At 39.5% G+C, this 18,109-nt stretch overlaps 2 protein-coding genes and 1 long non-coding RNA gene across 15 annotated transcripts in view, besides 4 other annotated features; 2 read left to right on the forward strand and 1 right to left on the reverse strand.

Moving 5' to 3' along the window:
- The window catches only part of ZFYVE16 (zinc finger FYVE-type containing 16), a 75,770-nt gene extending 67,511 nt beyond the window's left edge, over nucleotides 1–8,259 (forward strand). For all 12 annotated transcript variants that reach the window (NR_146172.2, NR_146174.2, NR_146173.2 and 9 more), the window contains one exon: nucleotides 2,099–8,259. Coding sequence is in view for 9 of the 12 variants with exons in the window: in XM_017010092.3 (XP_016865581.1) it covers nucleotides 2,099–2,257 (159 nt within the window). In the remaining 3 variants the exon portion in view is untranslated. The remainder of the gene's footprint in view (nucleotides 1–2,098) is intronic.
- Nucleotides 6,338–6,447: a silencer, noted in NCBI's record as "silent region_16139". NCBI's record gives its function as "represses an Ori minimal core promoter by ATAC-STARR-seq in GM12878 lymphoblastoid cells {active_cell/tissue: GM12878}" and the evidence as "EXISTENCE:reporter gene assay evidence [ECO:0000049][PMID:35858748]".
- Nucleotides 7,680–12,826, reverse strand: FAM151B-DT (FAM151B divergent transcript). Its single transcript, NR_172938.1, has 3 exons — nucleotides 12,658–12,826; nucleotides 10,346–10,441; nucleotides 7,680–8,046 (listed from the first exon to the last, which is right to left on the reverse strand). It is a non-coding gene; the product is annotated as an FAM151B divergent transcript (long non-coding RNA).
- Nucleotides 12,584–13,085: an enhancer, noted in NCBI's record as "H3K27ac hESC enhancer chr5:79783523-79784024 (GRCh37/hg19 assembly coordinates)". NCBI's record gives its function as "activates a minimal SCP1, AML or CMV promoter by ChIP-STARR-seq in naive H9 embryonic stem cells {active_cell/tissue: H9 hESC(naive)}" and the evidence as "EXISTENCE:reporter gene assay evidence [ECO:0000049][PMID:30033119]".
- FAM151B (family with sequence similarity 151 member B) overlaps nucleotides 12,980–18,109 on the forward strand; it is a 54,464-nt gene continuing 49,334 nt past the window's right edge. For both annotated transcript variants that reach the window (NM_205548.3, XM_011543235.3), the window contains exon 1: nucleotides 12,980–13,028. In NM_205548.3, the coding sequence (NP_991111.2) occupies nucleotides 13,004–13,028 (25 nt within the window). In that variant the 5' untranslated portion in view covers nucleotides 12,980–13,003. The remainder of the gene's footprint in view (nucleotides 13,029–18,109) is intronic.
- Nucleotides 13,086–13,585: an enhancer, noted in NCBI's record as "H3K27ac hESC enhancer chr5:79784025-79784524 (GRCh37/hg19 assembly coordinates)". NCBI's record gives its function as "activates a minimal SCP1, AML or CMV promoter by ChIP-STARR-seq in naive H9 embryonic stem cells {active_cell/tissue: H9 hESC(naive)}" and the evidence as "EXISTENCE:reporter gene assay evidence [ECO:0000049][PMID:30033119]".
- Nucleotides 13,250–13,544: a silencer, noted in NCBI's record as "tiled region #17; K562 Repressive DNase unmatched - State 4:PromP". NCBI's record gives its function as "represses a minimal TATA promoter and a strong SV40 promoter by Sharpr-MPRA in K562 cells {active_cell/tissue: K562}" and the evidence as "EXISTENCE:reporter gene assay evidence [ECO:0000049][PMID:27701403]".

Here is an 18,109-nt window from a genome sequence, read left to right on the forward strand (position 1 = left end):
CAAATTAAGTGTGGCTATGTTCCAGTGAAATTTTGTTTACCCAGTGGGGCCAAGTTTGGCCTGCAGGCCATAGTTTGATGAACCCTTCTCCATGACTACTCTGCCTTATAGGTAGGTTTTTAAATTTACTTATCTGACTAAATTCTATATGTACATGATTTAAAATCTTAAAAGTCTAAAAGCGTATATATAACAGGACCACCTCGCTGAATATTTGCGGAGAGCAGCATTCACAATGTATTCTGTGTAACTGGTGGACTCTGGAGATAATAACTCCAGACTACAATGTAAATGGTTCCCAGTAGAGTTGTATAAGGCAACAGCCTTGGAAATATCTTTCCTACTGTTGACATCCAACCCATCAGTTCACCTTCATACTTTTCTTTATCCTCCCTCTCCGGCCAAGCAATCAGTGTTACTCATTTCTTACGTATTCTTTGTGATTTTATGCATCTACAAGCAAATAAGTGTGTGTCCTCCTTTTTCATCTTCCCTCTTTTACACATTTTTTACCTTGCTTCTTTAATATATCTTAAAGATATTAATACTAGCAGACATTCTTTTTTAACAGCGGCATAGTAGTTGATTATATAAATGTACCATAATTTATCTAACTAATTATTCATGCATATTTGATATATGTTGATAGACATTCAGGTTGTCCACAATATTTTGCTTTTACATAAGCGTAAGTATATCTATAAGAAAAATTCTGAGTAGAATTGCCAGGCCTGAGTATATACGCAATAGATATTACCATATTATCCCAAATAGAGGTTATGTCAATTTATATTTATTTCTTCCAGCAATTTGTGAGAGCTCTTTCCCTCACATCCTTTTTTTGAGACAGTCTCACTCTGCCACCCAGGCTGGAGTGCAGTGGCACGATTTTGGCTCACTGCAGCCTCTGCCCCCTGGGTTCAAGCAATTCTCCTTCCTCAGCCTCCCGAGTAGCTGGGACTACAGGCATGTGCCACCACACCTTGCTAATATTTGTATTTTTAGCAGACACAGGGTTTCACCATGTTGGCTGGACCGGTCTTGAACTCTTGACCTCATGTGATCTGTGGCCTCCCAAAGTGCTGGGATTATAGGTGTGAGCCACCGCACCTGGCCTCCCCCATATCCTTATCAAAGAAGTATATAATCAAACTTTTGAACTTGGACAATTTGATAGGTGAAAAATAATACCACATTATTATTAATATTATTATTACTTGTTAAATAGATGGGGTTTCACTCTGTTTCCCAGGTTGGTCTTGAACTCCTGGGCTCAAGCAGTTCTCCTGCCTTGGCCTCCCAAAGTGTTGAGATTGTAGGCATGAGCCACCACGCCTGGCCCCAGTATTATTTTAATTTGTATTTCTCTTAACAAGGAGTGATGATCATCTTGCATGTAAAAACAATTTGTTTTTCTTTGAACTGAAAGTTCTCTTTCTGACATCCAGGTAACTTTCCAACATCCAATATAGATTTTCAAATCAGAGAATTCATTAGAATGGTTAAGCTAAACGTGGGTGAGTTCATATGCTGAGGGTTTGCTTTTCTCCAGCCAGGATATATTTTACTCATAGTTCTTACTGGAAAAGGGGTTTTGTTTTTATCTCACTATTAAAAGTCCTCTTTTCAAGGAAGCACTCACTATTTGTTATTGGAGTAAGCACTGTAAATTTTTTTAGCCAATTGTATTAAAATGTAATTTGCACCAATGTTAGAGTCTAATATTAAATATTATTGCAACAACAAATTTGAAATATTTCAAGTAGATTTTTTTAATACCATGGGGTTTTTAATTTAAGTAATGTCGGCAGTTATTCAAAGCCTCATCCCTCTAATTTGTTTATGTGTTCATTTAGAGGAAACGTAAAGTATGACATAGTGGCAATTTTATCTTTATGATATATGAGGAGGAACAATTATAATTTATGTAGTAGACAGATAAAAGATACAGGAGAATGTAGAATTTTTTTATAAATATATCAAATATTTTATTTAACATGCTTGAACTGTATTTTAAAATATTTCACTTATTTTATATTCACATTCCGAGTTAAACAAGATTGCTCATTTTCTTATCAAGAATTTTTTTTTTTTCTAGGTTGAATTTCAGGCAGGATCTGAAGGCCAACTTCTGCCTCAGCATTATCTAAATGATCTTGATAGTGCTCTGATACCTGTGATCCATGGTGGGACCTCCAACTCTAGTTTACCATTAGAAATAGAATTAGTGTTTTTCATTATAGAACATCTTTTTTAGTGAAAGAATGTGCCATATTACATATTGCAACCTAATTTGTTAAAACTAACTCCAGCACTAAAGCTGAAATGCCACAAACACTAAAAGTATAAATATGTCTGATTTTTGAAACACATAAGCTTTGCTCTTTAGGCAGGAATGATCTTTTCAAATCATTAGCACAATATTTAAATATCTAAAAATTTAAGAGATCCATACTTTCTGTAGCTTTACAATTAATTTAAGTACTAAAAAGACAAGGATTTCTTTTAAGAAATTTATAGCATTTACTGTGTTATTTAAATGCTAAGCCAAAGTATCTGCACTTAGGTATACCTCTTTATGCCAATAATGATTTTAATGAAGGCTCTTTTCAGATGTAACCTTATGAAGGAAATATCTGCTTTGTGTATATGCCAGTTAGAATACTGGTTTCTAAAGTCTGTCAAATTGTATTTCAGTGGCACAAAAACCAGTTTTGAGGTCTTAGACTTATAATTCTTTGAATAAAACTGATAACTTATTTGTATAATTGGAGTGGAGACCTACCTCCATAATTAGATAAACTCTTTTTGGATTATAATCAGAATTTTGCCTTTTTTCTTCTCAAATTATTACATATGTATGTATTATATATCCACATATATAGTTTTCCCTGATTAAATGGATATTAAAATAATTGCGGGTGCTTCAGGACTTTTTGCTTCTATATTTAAGTATATTGTTTTTATAGCAAGAACATATTCTGAATGTTTTATAAATCTTTAATAATTTATATGTAGGTAATATTTTTGTATCACAATGCATTATTTTTTTCCTCCTTTCCTTCCAAACTATACCACTGTATTTACCACTTCTAAGAGTGACTGACGACGGGCCAGATGACCCTTGAAGTAGTCATTATGTAGCAATAAATGAAGCCTGAAACAGGTTTTTTTACTTCCACTTTAATCCTTAGAAATTTCTTGGCAACTTCGCATATTTTCATTGACACCAGTGTATAAGTATAAATTTAAATGAACTAATTACTTTTGCATATTTTAAATTCTTTATATGGTAGTTATTTTTTATAACAGGATATTAACATAAGTTAAATCCTATGTATTTGAAATTGTTACAGAGCTTTCCTCTTTACTTCAAACAGCAAAAAAGTGGGGGGCATATTGTAGTCCTGTCATTTAAGTTATGTAAAAAATTTAATCATTATTTTGATGCTTTAAACATTCTCATGTGTAATATATGTTTTTGTATCAAAAACACTCATATATTTCAAGAAAAAGAAATTATGTTAAATAGCCCTGTTTTAAGAAAAATATTTATGAAGCATCTCAACTTGAAGATCAAGTCAAAGTTATAACTCAGGATCTGAGGTCTCAAGCTAGGAGAGACTGAGAATTTTAATCAGTTTGGGCATATAGTTTGGACTGAATCACATCTGTAGTACTTAGCCAAAGACAATTTGGAGGAGAATATCAGCCTTCTGGAAGTAGCTACTTCCTGAACAATGTAAAGTGTCGCAGATATTCAATAAAATGGCAACCTGTTATAATTTGTGAAATTTATTGAAATGGTGTAAGATGAAAACAATTGCATATCAAACCCAATTTATGTTTTCTAAATATAGTGTATGTATTCTGCCATGTAAGTAATTGAACAGTCTTAAAATAACCAAATGGTAGAGGGCTGTTCCATGATGGGACAGCTTTGGATTTGTTTTCATAAAATCTCTATATTCAATAAAAATTGGAATTATGTGCCTGAAGTTTGGAGGCACATTTTGAAGTATTCTTTGTAGACATATAGTATGTTTCTGAATGTGTTTGTTACTTATTTGGTCATTGGTACTTAATTTGAAATTTTAATTTTTTAAGAGAAGAAATAGAATGGTTCTTTGTACTCAGTCTGCAATGATCTATTTTTGGCTTATGTCTTTTAATACTACTCTCTTTCTCTGAATTTTGAAATATGAAGTAAAATCTAGCCCATTTGTTTTATGCAGCTATTCAACAAACTTTGTGTGTTCGTATACTTGCTACATGCAGAGCACTTTACCAGGTTTCTAAGCAAAAATTTCTAAAAATGATTAATTGTTCTGACAGAATTAGGCGTAGTTCTTTATCAACATTTATGGATTCCATGCCACAAGTAGTATGCGCTTAAGTGCAGAGCATGCCAAGAGAAAGAGTAGGATTTGGCCCTGTAGGAGCAAAGATTCAATTGTGGGAAACTACTTGTTTCTGAAAATTGCATGCTAGGATATTTACATCATGTTCCTGTTGAAAACAATTCCTGATTAAAATACAAGAATAATCTTAAAACATCAAAGAGATTTTCCAGACAATAAGGAATGCCAAGTCCAAAAGTAAAGAGAATAAGAGAAGCAAGCATGTACCCTTACTCTGACAACCTTATGAGTGAGGGGGACAGAAATTAAAGTTCAGGGCCCATATAAGGTGATGAACCTAACAGGAGACCCTCCACACAATAGGCTGAGACTCCCAAATACTTTCACCTTTAGGATGATAATGAATCAGAGGTGGAAGAACCAATGTAAAAGAACAGGCAAGTTTAGAATTGCCCCAGTGATCTAAAGAATCTTAAGCACTGAGCTTCCTTTAAGGTGTTCCCACACTAGTAATGCCTCCAGGTGACAGAGAAAATAAAATGTAAATACTTTTCATGGAAAAGTAATTTCATTGTAGGCCTCAAATTACTTTTCAAATATGTCTAGTAACACATAGTAAAAAGTAGTCATATAAGGAAACTAGATTCCAGAGGCAAGAATTACTTGAAGCAATGAAAACAAACTCACAGATATAGGTATTAGATTTGTTTTCTTTGTTTAAGGAAATAAGGTGTGTGAATGTACTTGCAGGAAATGGGAAACTATACGATAAAAAGTTGTGGAGCTAATCTGGAAAAGAACTGAATATAAACATTACAAGAATATACATAAAAACTGCACTTTAAAACTCAGTAAATAGATGTAATAGAATGTAGCCAATTGGGGTAGTTTATAAACTGGAAGATAACTCAGGAGAAACTATTCACAGTGCACCATGGGAGAAACAGCTGGAAAAAAAAACAGAAGACCTGTAGAGAATACAGTGAAAAATCCTAAGTGCTTCATTAGCTGTGAGAGGAGAGGCAAGAATAGGACAGAGCAAATACTTAGATAGAATGCAGAATTTTAAAAACTGATGAAAGACATGACCCCACACATTCTAGAAGCCAGACAAATCCCAAACAGAATAAACTAGAAAATCCACACATAGACACATAATAAGGCCAGGTGCAGTGGCTCACACCTGTAATCGAGCACTTTGGGAGGCCAAGGCAGGAGGATCACTCGAGCTCAGGTTGAGACCAGAGTGAGCAACACAGGGAGACACTGTCTCTGCAAAATTAAAAAAATTTTGCCAGGTGTGGTGGCTCATACTTGTGGTCCCAGCTTCACGGGGGCTGAGGTGGGAGGATCACTTGAGCCCAGGAGGTTAAGGCTCCAGTGAGCTGTGATCGTGCAACAGAGCAAAACCTTGTCTCAAAAAAAAGGAAAAAGAAAAAAGACATTTAACAGGAAAACTGGAAATGCTAGCTGACAGAGAGAAAAATAGTCCAAGGAACAATTTGCTGTTTCTAGTCAGAGGACCAGAAAGGAGGTTGGAGGCTATGGGACAAAACCCTTTTTAATTTAATTGCAGTATTCTAAGAGAGCCTCAGGAAAGATGCAGTAAGACCCACCGCCCCACCAGGAGAACCATGGGTAATGACTTGGAACCTTCTGGACTTTCCTTGCTCTACATCAATCCCGCAGCAGTAAAGAGGTATCACTCTTCTCTTCCCCCTGGTGCACTAGTGGCAGACATTGCAGGGCAGAACACTGGCAATGGGGAGGCTAACGCCCTGACTTTCTAGCCAAAAACCAAGAATGGGGTTCTAGAAACCAGAGTATAGGTAAGATCACAAATAGGAGGGAACTGAAGAAAAGGAACCCTTAAATCTGTCAATAAAATCCTGGGATCATCTCACAAGCTGTGTATGTGTGAAACTAACCAGAAGCAGCTGAGCAAAGGTTCTGAACACTGAATTACAGTGTAGGCCACTGTCCAAGTTTCAGATTGGCCACTAGATGGTGCACAACTGGGGCAAAGAACAGCTTAACAAAGGCAGTGAAAACTAACATTGGAACCACAGCCACCAAAAAAAGTGGCCAGGATGTGTGCTCTGAAACTTAACTGAATTGATGGTCTGCTAAAACAAAACAAAACAAAAACATTCTTATGAAGATTTAAACAGGATAGAGAATATCATAATATTCCAAATATATCCCAGAAACAACCCAAAATGATTGGACAAAGAACTTGTGAAACCTAAGCAACTCTCTAGGGAAAAGACAATGAACAAGAGCCAACTCTAAGGTTACCCAAATGTCAGAATTATCAGAAAAAGACTTAAAACTAGTTATTTTATTTTTTTTATTTATTTTTGAGACAGTCTCTATCACCCAGGCTAGAGTGCAGTGATACAATCTTGGCTCACTGCAACCTCCACCCCCAGGGTGCAAGTGATTCTCCTGTCTCAGCCTCCTGAGTAGCTGTGACTACAGGTGTGTACCACCACGCCTAGATAATTTTTTGTATTTTTAATAGAGACAGAGTTTCACCACGTTGGCCAGGCTGGTCTCAAACTCCTGACCTCAAGTGATCTGCCTGCCTGGGCCTCCCAAAGTGCTGGGATTACAGGCATAAGCCAGCACACCTGGCCGTTAAACTAGTTATTTTAATCATGCTACACAAAGAAGACATTTCTCCAAAGGAAATATATAAAGGGAAACACTGTTGAAATAAATGGAAAGCTAAAAGTCTCAGCATAGAAGCTATAAAAAGAAACAAGTGGAAATTGTAGAACTGAAAATACAATAACAAAATTTACTGGAAGGTCTCAACACAATGAAGATGACTGAGGGAAGAGTCAGTAAATTTGAAGATACATGAGCAGAAATTATCTAGTCTGAATGACAGAGAAAAAAGTGAAAAAAATGAGAAGACCTTTGGGGATCTGTGGGACAATATGAAACAGTCTAATATTCATGTCTTAGGAGCCCAGAAAGAACAATTGGAAGAAAAAAATATCTGAAGAAATAATAGCTAAAAACTTCCAAACATCTGGCAAAAAACAAATATTCACATACATTTACATAGCATTCTATTTAAAGCCGGTCTGCTGGCACAGCAAATCCCAAAAAGGAAAACCACACCCAGGCACGTCATAATCAAAGTGATGAAACCAACTGTAAAGAAAATACTTTGAAAACAACTGGAAGAAAACAACACTTTGTATATAGGAGAACCAAAGATTTCAGTGATGGCAGATTTCTCATCAGAAACCATGGAGCAACATTTATAAAGTGCTTTTAAAAAGCAACAAAACTGTCAACACAGAATCCTTTATCCAGCAAATATATTCTTTAGGAAAGAAAATGAAATAAAGACATTTTCTTTTTTTTCTTTACTTTTTTTTTTTTTATGAGATGGAGTCTCACTCTGTTGCCCAGGCTGGAATGGATTGGTGCGATCTCAGCTCACTGCAACCTCCGCCTCCCGGTTCAAGCAGTTCTCCTGTCTGAGCCTCCAGAGGAGTAGCTGGGATTACAGGTGCGTGGTACCACGCCCAGCTAATTTTTTTATGTTTGTAGTAGAGACGAGTTTCACCATGTTGGTCAGGATGGTCTCAAACTCCTGACCTCAGGTGATCTGCCTGCTTCGGCCTCCCAAAGTGCTGAGATTAGAGGCATGAGCCACCATACCTGGCTGAAATAAAGACATTGTCAGAAGAAGGAAAGCTAAAATAATTCATTGCTAGTAGTCCTCCTTTAACAGAAATGGTAAAGGAAGTTCATGGGGAAGGAAAATGATTGCAAAGAAGGAAGAGCAACCAAAATGGCAAATCTCTGGATAAACCAAATAGACTTACATGTTTGTTAAAATATATGTAACTGCTGAAATAAAAAAATTGTAACATCATCTTTTGGGATTTTCAATGCATATAGATGTAATACAGATGAAAACTGCATACTAACCAAGGGGACAGTGACAGAACCTATATGGTAAGTTTTCTAAATTTCACTTAAAGTGGTAAAACATTATAGTAGGTTACAAAAAGTTTGGTATGTAATGATCATCTCTAGAGCAACCATTTTAAAAAACTATGCAAGGAGATATGTTTAAAAAGCCGACATATAAAGTGGAATTTTAAATAATTCAAAATAAAGCCAGCAAGGAAAACAAGTGTAAAAGAAATAAGGGATCAACAAGAAAAATTAATGCTAAAATGGTAGACCTAAATCCAGCTGTATCAAAAATTACACTAGGCCAGGTGTGGTGGCTAATGCCCATAATCCCAACACTTTAGGAGGCTGAAGCAGGAAGATCACTTGAGGCCAGGAGTTCAAGATCAGACTGGGCAATGTAGTGAGGCCCCGTATCTACATAAAACTTAAAAGAATTAGCCAACCATGGTAGTGCATGCCTATAGTCCTGGCTACTCAGGAGGCTGAGGTGGGAGATCATTTGAGCCCAGTAGTTTGAGGCTGCAGTGAGCTGTGATCATACCGCTGTACTCCAGCCTGGGCCACTGAGCAAGACCCTGTCCCTAAAAATAAAAATAAATAACAATTACATTAAATGTAAATGGTCTAAATATGGCAATTGATTTTTTTTTTTTTTTTTGGATCAAGTCTCATTTATTCTGTCACCCAGGCTGGAGTGCAGTGGCACAATCCCGGCTCACTGTAACCTCCACCTCCCAGGTTCAAGTGATTCTCCTGCTTCAGCCTCCTGAGTAGCTGGGATTACAGGCATGTCCACATCTGGCTAATTTTTTCTTTGTTTTTATTAGAGATGGAGTTTCACCATTTTGTCCAGGATAGTCTTGAACTCCTGTCCTCAACTGATCTGCCTGTCTTGGCCTCCCAAAGGACTGGAATTACAGGCATGAGCCACCATGCCTGGCCAGATGGATTTTTTTAAAACCTAATTTATATGCTATCTATACAAGCCACTTATGATACAATGGTACATGCAGGTTAAAAAGTAAAAGGATGGAAAAAGATATTCCATGCAAACACTAAAAAGAAGAAGAAAAGGACAAAGCTGGAGTGGTTATTTTGCTATCAGACAAAGCAAACTTCAGAACAAGGAATATTACCCTGTAATTTATTTTTAAATTTATTTATTTATTTATTTATTTATGAGACAGGGTCTCATTGTATTGCCCAGGCCTAGGGTGCAGTGGCTATTCACAGGCACAGTCATGGCACACTACAGCCTTGAACTTAGGCTCTTAACCCATCCTCCTGCCTCAGCCTCCTGGGTAGCTGAGCCTACAAGTGCGTGCCACTGCACCCAGTTCCCCTGTGATTTATTATTGCATTTCATAGACTAGATACCAAGTTCAGAGAGAGAGTAATCTGTCCAAAGTCACACAGCTAGAAACTAAATTGGAATTTGAGGGAAAACTTTCTAGCTATTAGGACTCTGAAAATGAGGTAAGCTGTATTCATGCAGTGCTTTGTTTTGATTTTGAGACAGAGTCTCACTCTGCGGCCCAGGTGGAATGCAGTGGTGTGATCATGGCTCACTGCAGCCTTGAGTTCCTGGGCTCAAGCAATCCTCCCACCTTAGCCTCCTGATTAGCTGATACTACAGGCACATGCCGACACACCTGGCTTGTTTTTTATTTTTTCGTAGAGATGGGTCTCACTATGTTGTCCAGGCTGGTCTCAAAGTCCTGGTCTCCTCCTGCCTCAGCCTCCCAAAGTACTGGGATTACATGTGTGAGCCACCATGCCTGGCCTTTATTCATGTTTAGATGTCACCAAAAGCAGCCCCAGACTCAAGTTGGGGCCTGTGTCTCACATTCTAATCGTTATATTCTTTCCCCAGTGCAGCATGTACCCTTAACTTACAAAACCTTTTTTGTGCCAAAAAAGTAATTAGACTTATTTTTACCATAAAATTTCCAAACACTCAGAAGTAAAGGAAATAGTAGGATGAAAATCTATATACCCAGCCTACAACAATCCTCTGAGTCAACACTATCAAGACTTACCTCTTTTGCTTCATCCATCCCTTAATTTCTTTGCTGGAGCATTTTAAAGCAAATATCAGACATACCCTTTCACGCCTCACACTTCAACATGCGGCTCTAAAAATAAGGACAGTGAAGAGGAATTTTGAGTCAGTTATTGTAAAATATATGAAAATATTGTAATATTGTGACCAATATGTCATAAAAACTTAGCAAACTGATGCAGGAACAGAAACCAAATACTGCATGCTGTTACTTATAAGTGGGAGCTAAATGATGAGACACATGGACACAGAGTGGGGAACAACACACTGGGACTTTTGGAGGGTGGAGGGTGGGAGGAGGGAGAGCAGGAGAAACAATGAATGGGTACTAGGATTAATACCTGGGTGATGAAACAACCTGTACAACAAACCCCTATGATACAGTTTACCTGTGTAACAAACCTGCACTTGGACCCCTGAAGTTAAAAATTTTAAAAATGAAAAAAAAAAAAAGCCGGGCACAGTGGCTCACGCCTGTAATCCCAGCACTTTGGGAGGCTGAGGCGGGTGGATCACTTGAGGTCAGAAGTTCGAGACCAGCCTGGCCAACATGGTGAAATCCTGTCTCTACTAAAAATACAAAAATTAGCCAGGCGTGGTGGTGCGTGCTTGTAATCCCAGCTACTCAGGAGGCTGAGGCAGGAGAATCGCTTGAACCCGGGAGGTGGAGGTTGCAGTGAGCCGAGATCGTGCCACTGCACTCCAGCCTGGGGGAACAGAGTGAGACTTCATCTAAAAAAAAAGAAAAACAAGTTTTTTAAAAAAGACCTGTACTGCAATCAATGCCATCAAGAAAGTGAAAAGACAATCTGCACAACGGGAGAAAATATTGCAAATATTTGCAAATTACCTGTTAAGGGACTTGTATTGAGACTATATAAAGAATTCTCACAATTGAAATGAGCACAGGATTTGAGAAGACATTTCTCCAAAGGAAATATATAAATGACCGATAGCACCTGAAAATATGCTCAATATTATTAGTAGGGAACTACAAATCAAGATAATGAGGTAGTACTTCATATCTACTAGGATGGCTATAATTTAAAAAACATAACAACAAGTACTGACTGGTAAGGATGTGGGGAAATTGGAATCTTCATACATTGCTGGTGGGAATGAAAGATGGTACAGCTGATTTGCAAAACTGGCAGTTCCTCACACAGTTAAACAGTTACTATATGAACAAGTAGTTCCACTCCTAGGTATGTACACAGATATGCACACAGGAATGTATTCATATACGTCCACACAAAACTTGTCCATGAATGTTCACAGCAGCAGCATTCATAAAAGACAAAATGTAGAAACAACCCGAATGTCCTTCAGCTGTTGAATGGACACACATAAAATGTGGTATTTACAAACTGGAATTTATTCCAGCATAAGAAGGAAGGAAGTACTGATACATGCTAAAACATGGGTGAATTTTGAAAACATGCTAAGTGAAAGAAGCCAGTTACAAAGATCATACATACAGTCTGTGATTCTATTTACATGAAATTCCAGAATAGGCAAATTCATGAGACAGAAAGTAGATGAGTTGTTGCCTGGGGGTAGGAAGGGGGTAAATGGAGAGTGATTGCTTTGGAGTGATGAAAAATATTTTATCTGAAAGGCTGGGCAAGAATAACTCCCCTTTGTATTACGTGTCAGGTGATGTTAGTTATCCTAACTCTACCACTGGCAGATTGAGTTTTTTGGTCACAGAAGCTGAAAATGGCAGAGCTTTGTTGTTAATTCTGATCACTAGTTTGGCTTCAAAAAGTAATGAGTTAAGGAGGGCTAGAAAGACAGTGGATGGGAGGACCCAGTTGCTGAGAGCGTTTTCTGAGTGAACACTGGTAGAGAGACAGAAGGGGAGAGAAAACTTCAAGTTATCAGCTCGGTAACTTTGTACAAAAACTTATTTATTTATTTATTTATTTATTTGACAGTCTAGCTCTATCGCACAGACCGGAGCGCAGTGGAGCGATCTCGGCTCTCTGCAACCTCCACCTCTCCGGTTCAAGCCATTCTTGTGCCTCAGCCTCCCGAGTAGCTGGGATTACAGGCGCGCGCCACCACGCCAGGATAATTTTTTAAATTTTCAGTAAGGACGGGTTTTAACCATGTTGGCCAGGATGGTCTCGAATTCCTGACCTCAAGTGATCCGCCCACCTCGACCTCCCAAAGTGCTGGGAGTACAGGCCTGAGCCACCGTGCCCGGCCAGAAACACTGATTTTTATCAGTAATGATTCCACACCCTTTTAGGATATTACTAACATTTAAAAGAAAATATACCCAACTGTTGAAATTCGTGCTCCACTCCAGCAACTGCTTTCAATCGGAGTTCCATCCTCCGCCGCAGTATGCCCTAACGCAGCGTTATCTTCAGAGCTACCACCAGCTTCCGAAACCTTTCGGAGGAGCGCTTCGCCACCACCTGCACGGCGAAGCGGCGCGTAAACGAACCTCGAACGCCAGCCTTTGCGCCTGCGTGCCGCGGCTCCGTTTGGTTCCGCTTCGCTGGCGCCCGCCGGGCTCTTCCCCCGCCGAGGCCTGTGGTTTGTGGAGTCGAATTTCCCTGCCACCAGTGCCCGGTTAGCAGGGGCGCCAGCCTGGGCGCCTGCGCGGACGGCGGGCGTCGTCACCATGGCAGCATCCGCTGGAGGCCCAGGTAAGCGCCGAGCGCGCGGCCTCTGCCTGGAGGTGGGGCGCTTTGAGAGGCTCCGCCGGCCGTACCCTCCCTTTGCGGGCTCCCGCGGTCTTCCTTGCTAGGGACCTGGGAGCGCGCCGCGCAGAACCGGGCGGCTGGGCTTGGAGCCCGCTCTGCACTCGGGGCGCGCCCGCGATCGCCTGGCAAGGACCTTGGTTTGCCGGGTGGGCTCTAAGGGACAGGCGTTAGGGGAGGTCGAGAATGGCAGGGTCAGTGTCTTTTGAGGTCTGGGTTGGAAAGAAAGGAATGTGACGTTTCCCTAATCCTTAATTTCAGCCGACCGTATGGGGGCGGTCTGGGTCAGTAGGTTCCTCTTTGAAAGCTGGGGGAGGTTTGGGAATGCGGACTGGGCCGGGCCCGGCATAGTCCCGCTGCTGAGCGCGCTGCCTGGAAAGCTGGCAGAGTGTGCGGCTCGCTTGATTCCCCTTGGAATCAGGTGCTTCAACTCGCGGGACAGCAGTTCCGCTCTTGAAGGTTACAGTATCTTTTCTGTAAACTTAAGTAGTGGCATGAGACAACGTCAGTGACGCGTTCTTTCTTCAGTTTAGATTTTTTTCCCTAATTGTAAAAATAATACACGCTTTCACCATTCTGACTAGCAGGCTGTATAAATACAGGTTCTCTTCTGAATCGATGCACAGTTTACAGAATCTTGGAATAAAATGTGTGTGTAAGCGAAAAATGTCCAGGTCCTGATAAATGCCATTATAGAACATTTATAAAGTATATTAGTATAGGGAAATAGGAAAAAAAAATCCCCCAAATGCTGATACCCACAGGCACCACTACTAACTTTTTGGTATTTTCTAACAACCCTGACTCTTAAAAATAGAGTTAAGGTCATGGTAAACATAATTTTTAAAATCCTGCATCTTATACTATCCCATGTCACCAAGGTTTTTATAAACATAATTTTGAATGACTGAAGTGTTTTATACAATTATATTGTATACAATTATATTGTAATTAACCAGTCTCCTAATGTTGAACGTTAATCAGTCGTTTCCTGTTTTGTTTTGTTTTGTTAGAATTCATTCTGTAATGAACATTTTTGCATTGTTCTTCCTCAGTTATGTTTTTGGTTTGTTTTTATCCTGGACACGATTCTTGTAACTGAAATTACTGGATCAAAGGATGTGAACTTTTTTCTCTCTCTCTTTTTTAAGATCTGTGCTAAACCTCCGTAGAACATTTTTTCAGACCAGAGTTTTCCTTTTTTAACCCTTGTGCTCTTCTCAGTATAAATCCTTTTAATGCCTAGTTTTCCTAAGAATCCAAACAAATCTGGGACAAAGCTCACACTCAAGACTTACACCATTCTCACTCACAGGCTGTATAAATCCAGATTCTCTTCTGAATCGATGCAAGGTTTACAAAATCTTGGAATAAAATGTGTGCACAAGTGAAAAATGTCCAATTGCTGACAAATGCCATTTTTTAAAAAACAAATTTTTGGGCCGGGCGCGGTGACTCACGCCCGTAATCCCAGCACTTTGGGAGGCCGAGGTGGGCGGATCACGAGGTCAGGAGATCAAGACCATCCTGGCTAACACAGTGAAACCTCGTCTCTACTAAAAATCCAAAATAATTAGCCGGGCGTGGTGGCGGCGCCTGTAGTCTCAACTACTAAGGAGGCTGAGGCAGCAGAATGGCGTGAACCCGGGAGGCGGAGCTTGCGGTGAGCCAAGATTGCGCCACTGCACTCCAGCCTGAGCAACAGAGAGAAACTGTCTCAAAACAAAAACAAAAACAAAAATTTCTTCTCATTACCGAGTTATTGATAAAACTAATTCTTAACCAGATTCTTCCGTTATATGTCATTTTTCCCCCTTACACACACACACACACACACACACACACACACATTCTCAACATAAAAAAGTTCAAAAGGCACAATAGGATGTATAGTGAAAAGTTCCGTCCTGGCCGGGCGTGGTGGTTTACGCCTGTAATCTGAACACTTTGAAAGGCAGGAGGATCGCTTGAGCCCTGGAGTTTGGATCAGCCTGGGCAACACAGGGAGGCCTTATCTCTCCAAAAGAAAACAAATAAATTAGCCAGGTATGGTGGTGGCACATACCTGTGGACCCAGCCACTCAGGAGGAGACTGAGGCGGGAGAATCGCTTAAGCCGGAGAGGCTGCAGTGAACCAAGAACATGCCAGCCTGGGCAACAGAGCCAGAGCCTTAAAAAAATTAATAAATTCTTCAAAATCCTTACTGATGTACAATTTGCATACTATTAATATACAACTTATTTAAAGAGTATAATTCAGTGGTTTTAGCTTATTTATTTAATTTTAGCTTATTCACAGACTTGTGCAACAATTACCACAATTAATTTTAAAACATCTTCACCTTACAAAAAGAAACACTTCCCCATCCCCCACCCTTTAACATCCACAACTGCTATTCTTCTATTTTCTGTCTCTATGAATTTGCCTGTTCTGGATGTTTCATATAAATGGAATCATCCAATATAGACCCTCTTATGTCTAGCTTCTTCCACTTATCATAGTGTTTTCAAGATTCATCCATCTTGTAGCATGTTTCAATACTTCATTCCTTTTTATGGCCAAAAAAGGAATTGCATGAAACACCACATTTTGTTTATCCACTCATTAGTTGATGGACATTTGAGTTGTTTCCATCTTTTGGGTATAGTGAATAATGCTACTGTGAACATTTGTGTACAAGTTTTTGTGTGGACATATGGTACATTGTCTTTAATGGTAAGTCAATTCTGGTAGTCACTTTTGGAAACTGGAAGGAACCTTAATGATTGTCTAGTCCAGGGGTCAGCAAATAGCAAACTTTCTTTTTTAATTTTATTTTTAATTGACAAATAATAATTGCATATTTGCGAGGTACAATGTGATGTTATGATACATGTATACATGGTAGAATGATTAAGTCAGGCTAATTAATATATCCATCACCTCACATACTTATCATTTCTTTGTAATGAGAACATTTAAAATCTACTCATTTAAGAAGTTCAAAATATATAATACACTATTATTATTATTATTATTATTATTATCATTGAGACAGGGTCTCGCTCTGTCACCCAGGCTGGAGTGCAGTGGTGCAATCATGGCTCACTGCAGCCTTGACCTCCTGGGCTCAAGTGATCCTCCTGCCTCAGCCTCCTGAATAGCAGGGACTACAGGCACACACCACCATGCCTGGGTTATTATTATTGTTAGTTTTAGTGGTAGAGACAAGGTCTTGCTTCATTGCCCAGGCTGGTCTCGAACTACTGAGCTTAAGCAGTCCTTCCGCCTCAGCCTCCCAAAGTGCTGGAGTTACAGTTGTGAGCCAGCATGCCTGGAATTACTAACTATAGTCACCATTGCTGTGCAATAGATCTTGGGAACTTATTCCTCCTGTCTAACCGGAACTTTGCACCCTTTGACTGACATATCCCCCTCCCATCCAATTGCCCTGGCTGCATCCCTAGCCTCTGGTAACCACTATTCTGCTTTCTACTCCTAGAGCTCTACTTTTTGATGTCCCAAATGTGAGACTGTGCAGTATTTTTCTTTCCGTACCTGGCTTATTTCACTTAGCATACTGCCCTCCAGGTTTCTTCGTTTGTCGAAGATGACAGAATTTTCCTTTTTAAGGCTGAATAGTACCCCATTGTGTATCTATACCACATTTTCTTTATCCATTTACCCGCTGATGGTGCTTAGGTTGTTTCCATATCTTAGTGGTCAGCAAACTTTTTCTGTAAAGAACCAGAAATTAAATTTTGGGCTTTGCAAGGCATAAATTTATGTTCCAACTAATCAACTCTGCTATGGTAGCTGGAGAACAGCCACAGGTCGCACAGGGAAGGAGGTTGGGATAAATAGAGGGAGCACAGAGGTTTGGAGCAGCAACACTGTGATTCCGTATGATATTGTAGTGGTGGATACATGCCATTGTACAAGCATTCCTTGTTTTATTGTACTTCACTTTATTGTGCTTTGCAGATAATCCTTTTTTTTTTTCCCACAAATTGAAGGTTTGTAGCAACCTTGTATTGAGCAAGTCTGTTGGTGCTGTATTTTTCAATAGCATGTGTTCACTTTGTGTCTGTCACATTTTGGGAATTCTTGCAATATTTCAAATTTTAAAATTATTATATTTATTATGGTGATCTGTGATCAGTGATCTTCAAATACTACTATAATAATTGTTTTGGGGCACCACAAAGTCAAACTTAATCTGTAAATGTGGTGTGTGAGCCTTGCTGGCTTGGGCAGTGCATGCTGGCCGGCTTGGCGAGGATAAAAAATAAATAAATAAATATGGTGTGTGTTCAGACTGCTTCACCAGCCAGCCATACTCCTGTCTCTCTCCCTCTCCTAGGGTCTTACTATTTCCTGAGACACAAAAATATTGAAATTAGGCCAGTTAATAACCATAGAATGGGCTCTAAGTGTTTATGTGAAAGGAAGAGTCACCTGTTTCTCACTTAAAATCGAAAGCCAGAGGGCTGGGCACAGTGGCTTATGCCTGTAATCCCAGAACTTTGGGAGGCTGAGGTGGGAAGATCACATGAAGCCGGCAGTTCAAGACCAGCCTGGGCAACGTATCAAGACCTTGTCTCTACAAAAAATTTTAAAAATTAGCTGGCTGTGGTGGGATGCACCTGTAGTCCTAGCTACTTGGGATGCCCAGGCAGGAGGATCACTTGAGCCCATGAGTTTCAGATTATAGTGAGCTATGATTGCACCACTACACACCAGCCTGGGCAACAGAGTGAGACTTGTCTCTAAAAAAAACAAAAACAAAATCAAAAGCTAGAAATGATTAAGCTTAGTGAGAAAAGCATTTCGAAAGCTGAGAGAGGCCTCTTGTGCCAAACAGCTAAGTTGTCAATACAAAGGAAAAGCTCCTGAAGAAAATTCAAAGTGCCACTCCATGGAACACACAAATTATAAGAAAGCAAAACAGCCCTATTGCTGATATGGATGTTGTGGGAAGTCAGGGACCCCGAATGAAGGGACCAGCTGGAGCCGAGGCAGAAGAACATAAATTGTGAAGATTTCA

Source organism: Homo sapiens, chromosome 5 (genome assembly GCF_000001405.40).
Source record: "Homo sapiens chromosome 5, GRCh38.p14 Primary Assembly".
NCBI classification, from domain to species: domain Eukaryota; kingdom Metazoa; phylum Chordata; class Mammalia; order Primates; family Hominidae; genus Homo; species Homo sapiens.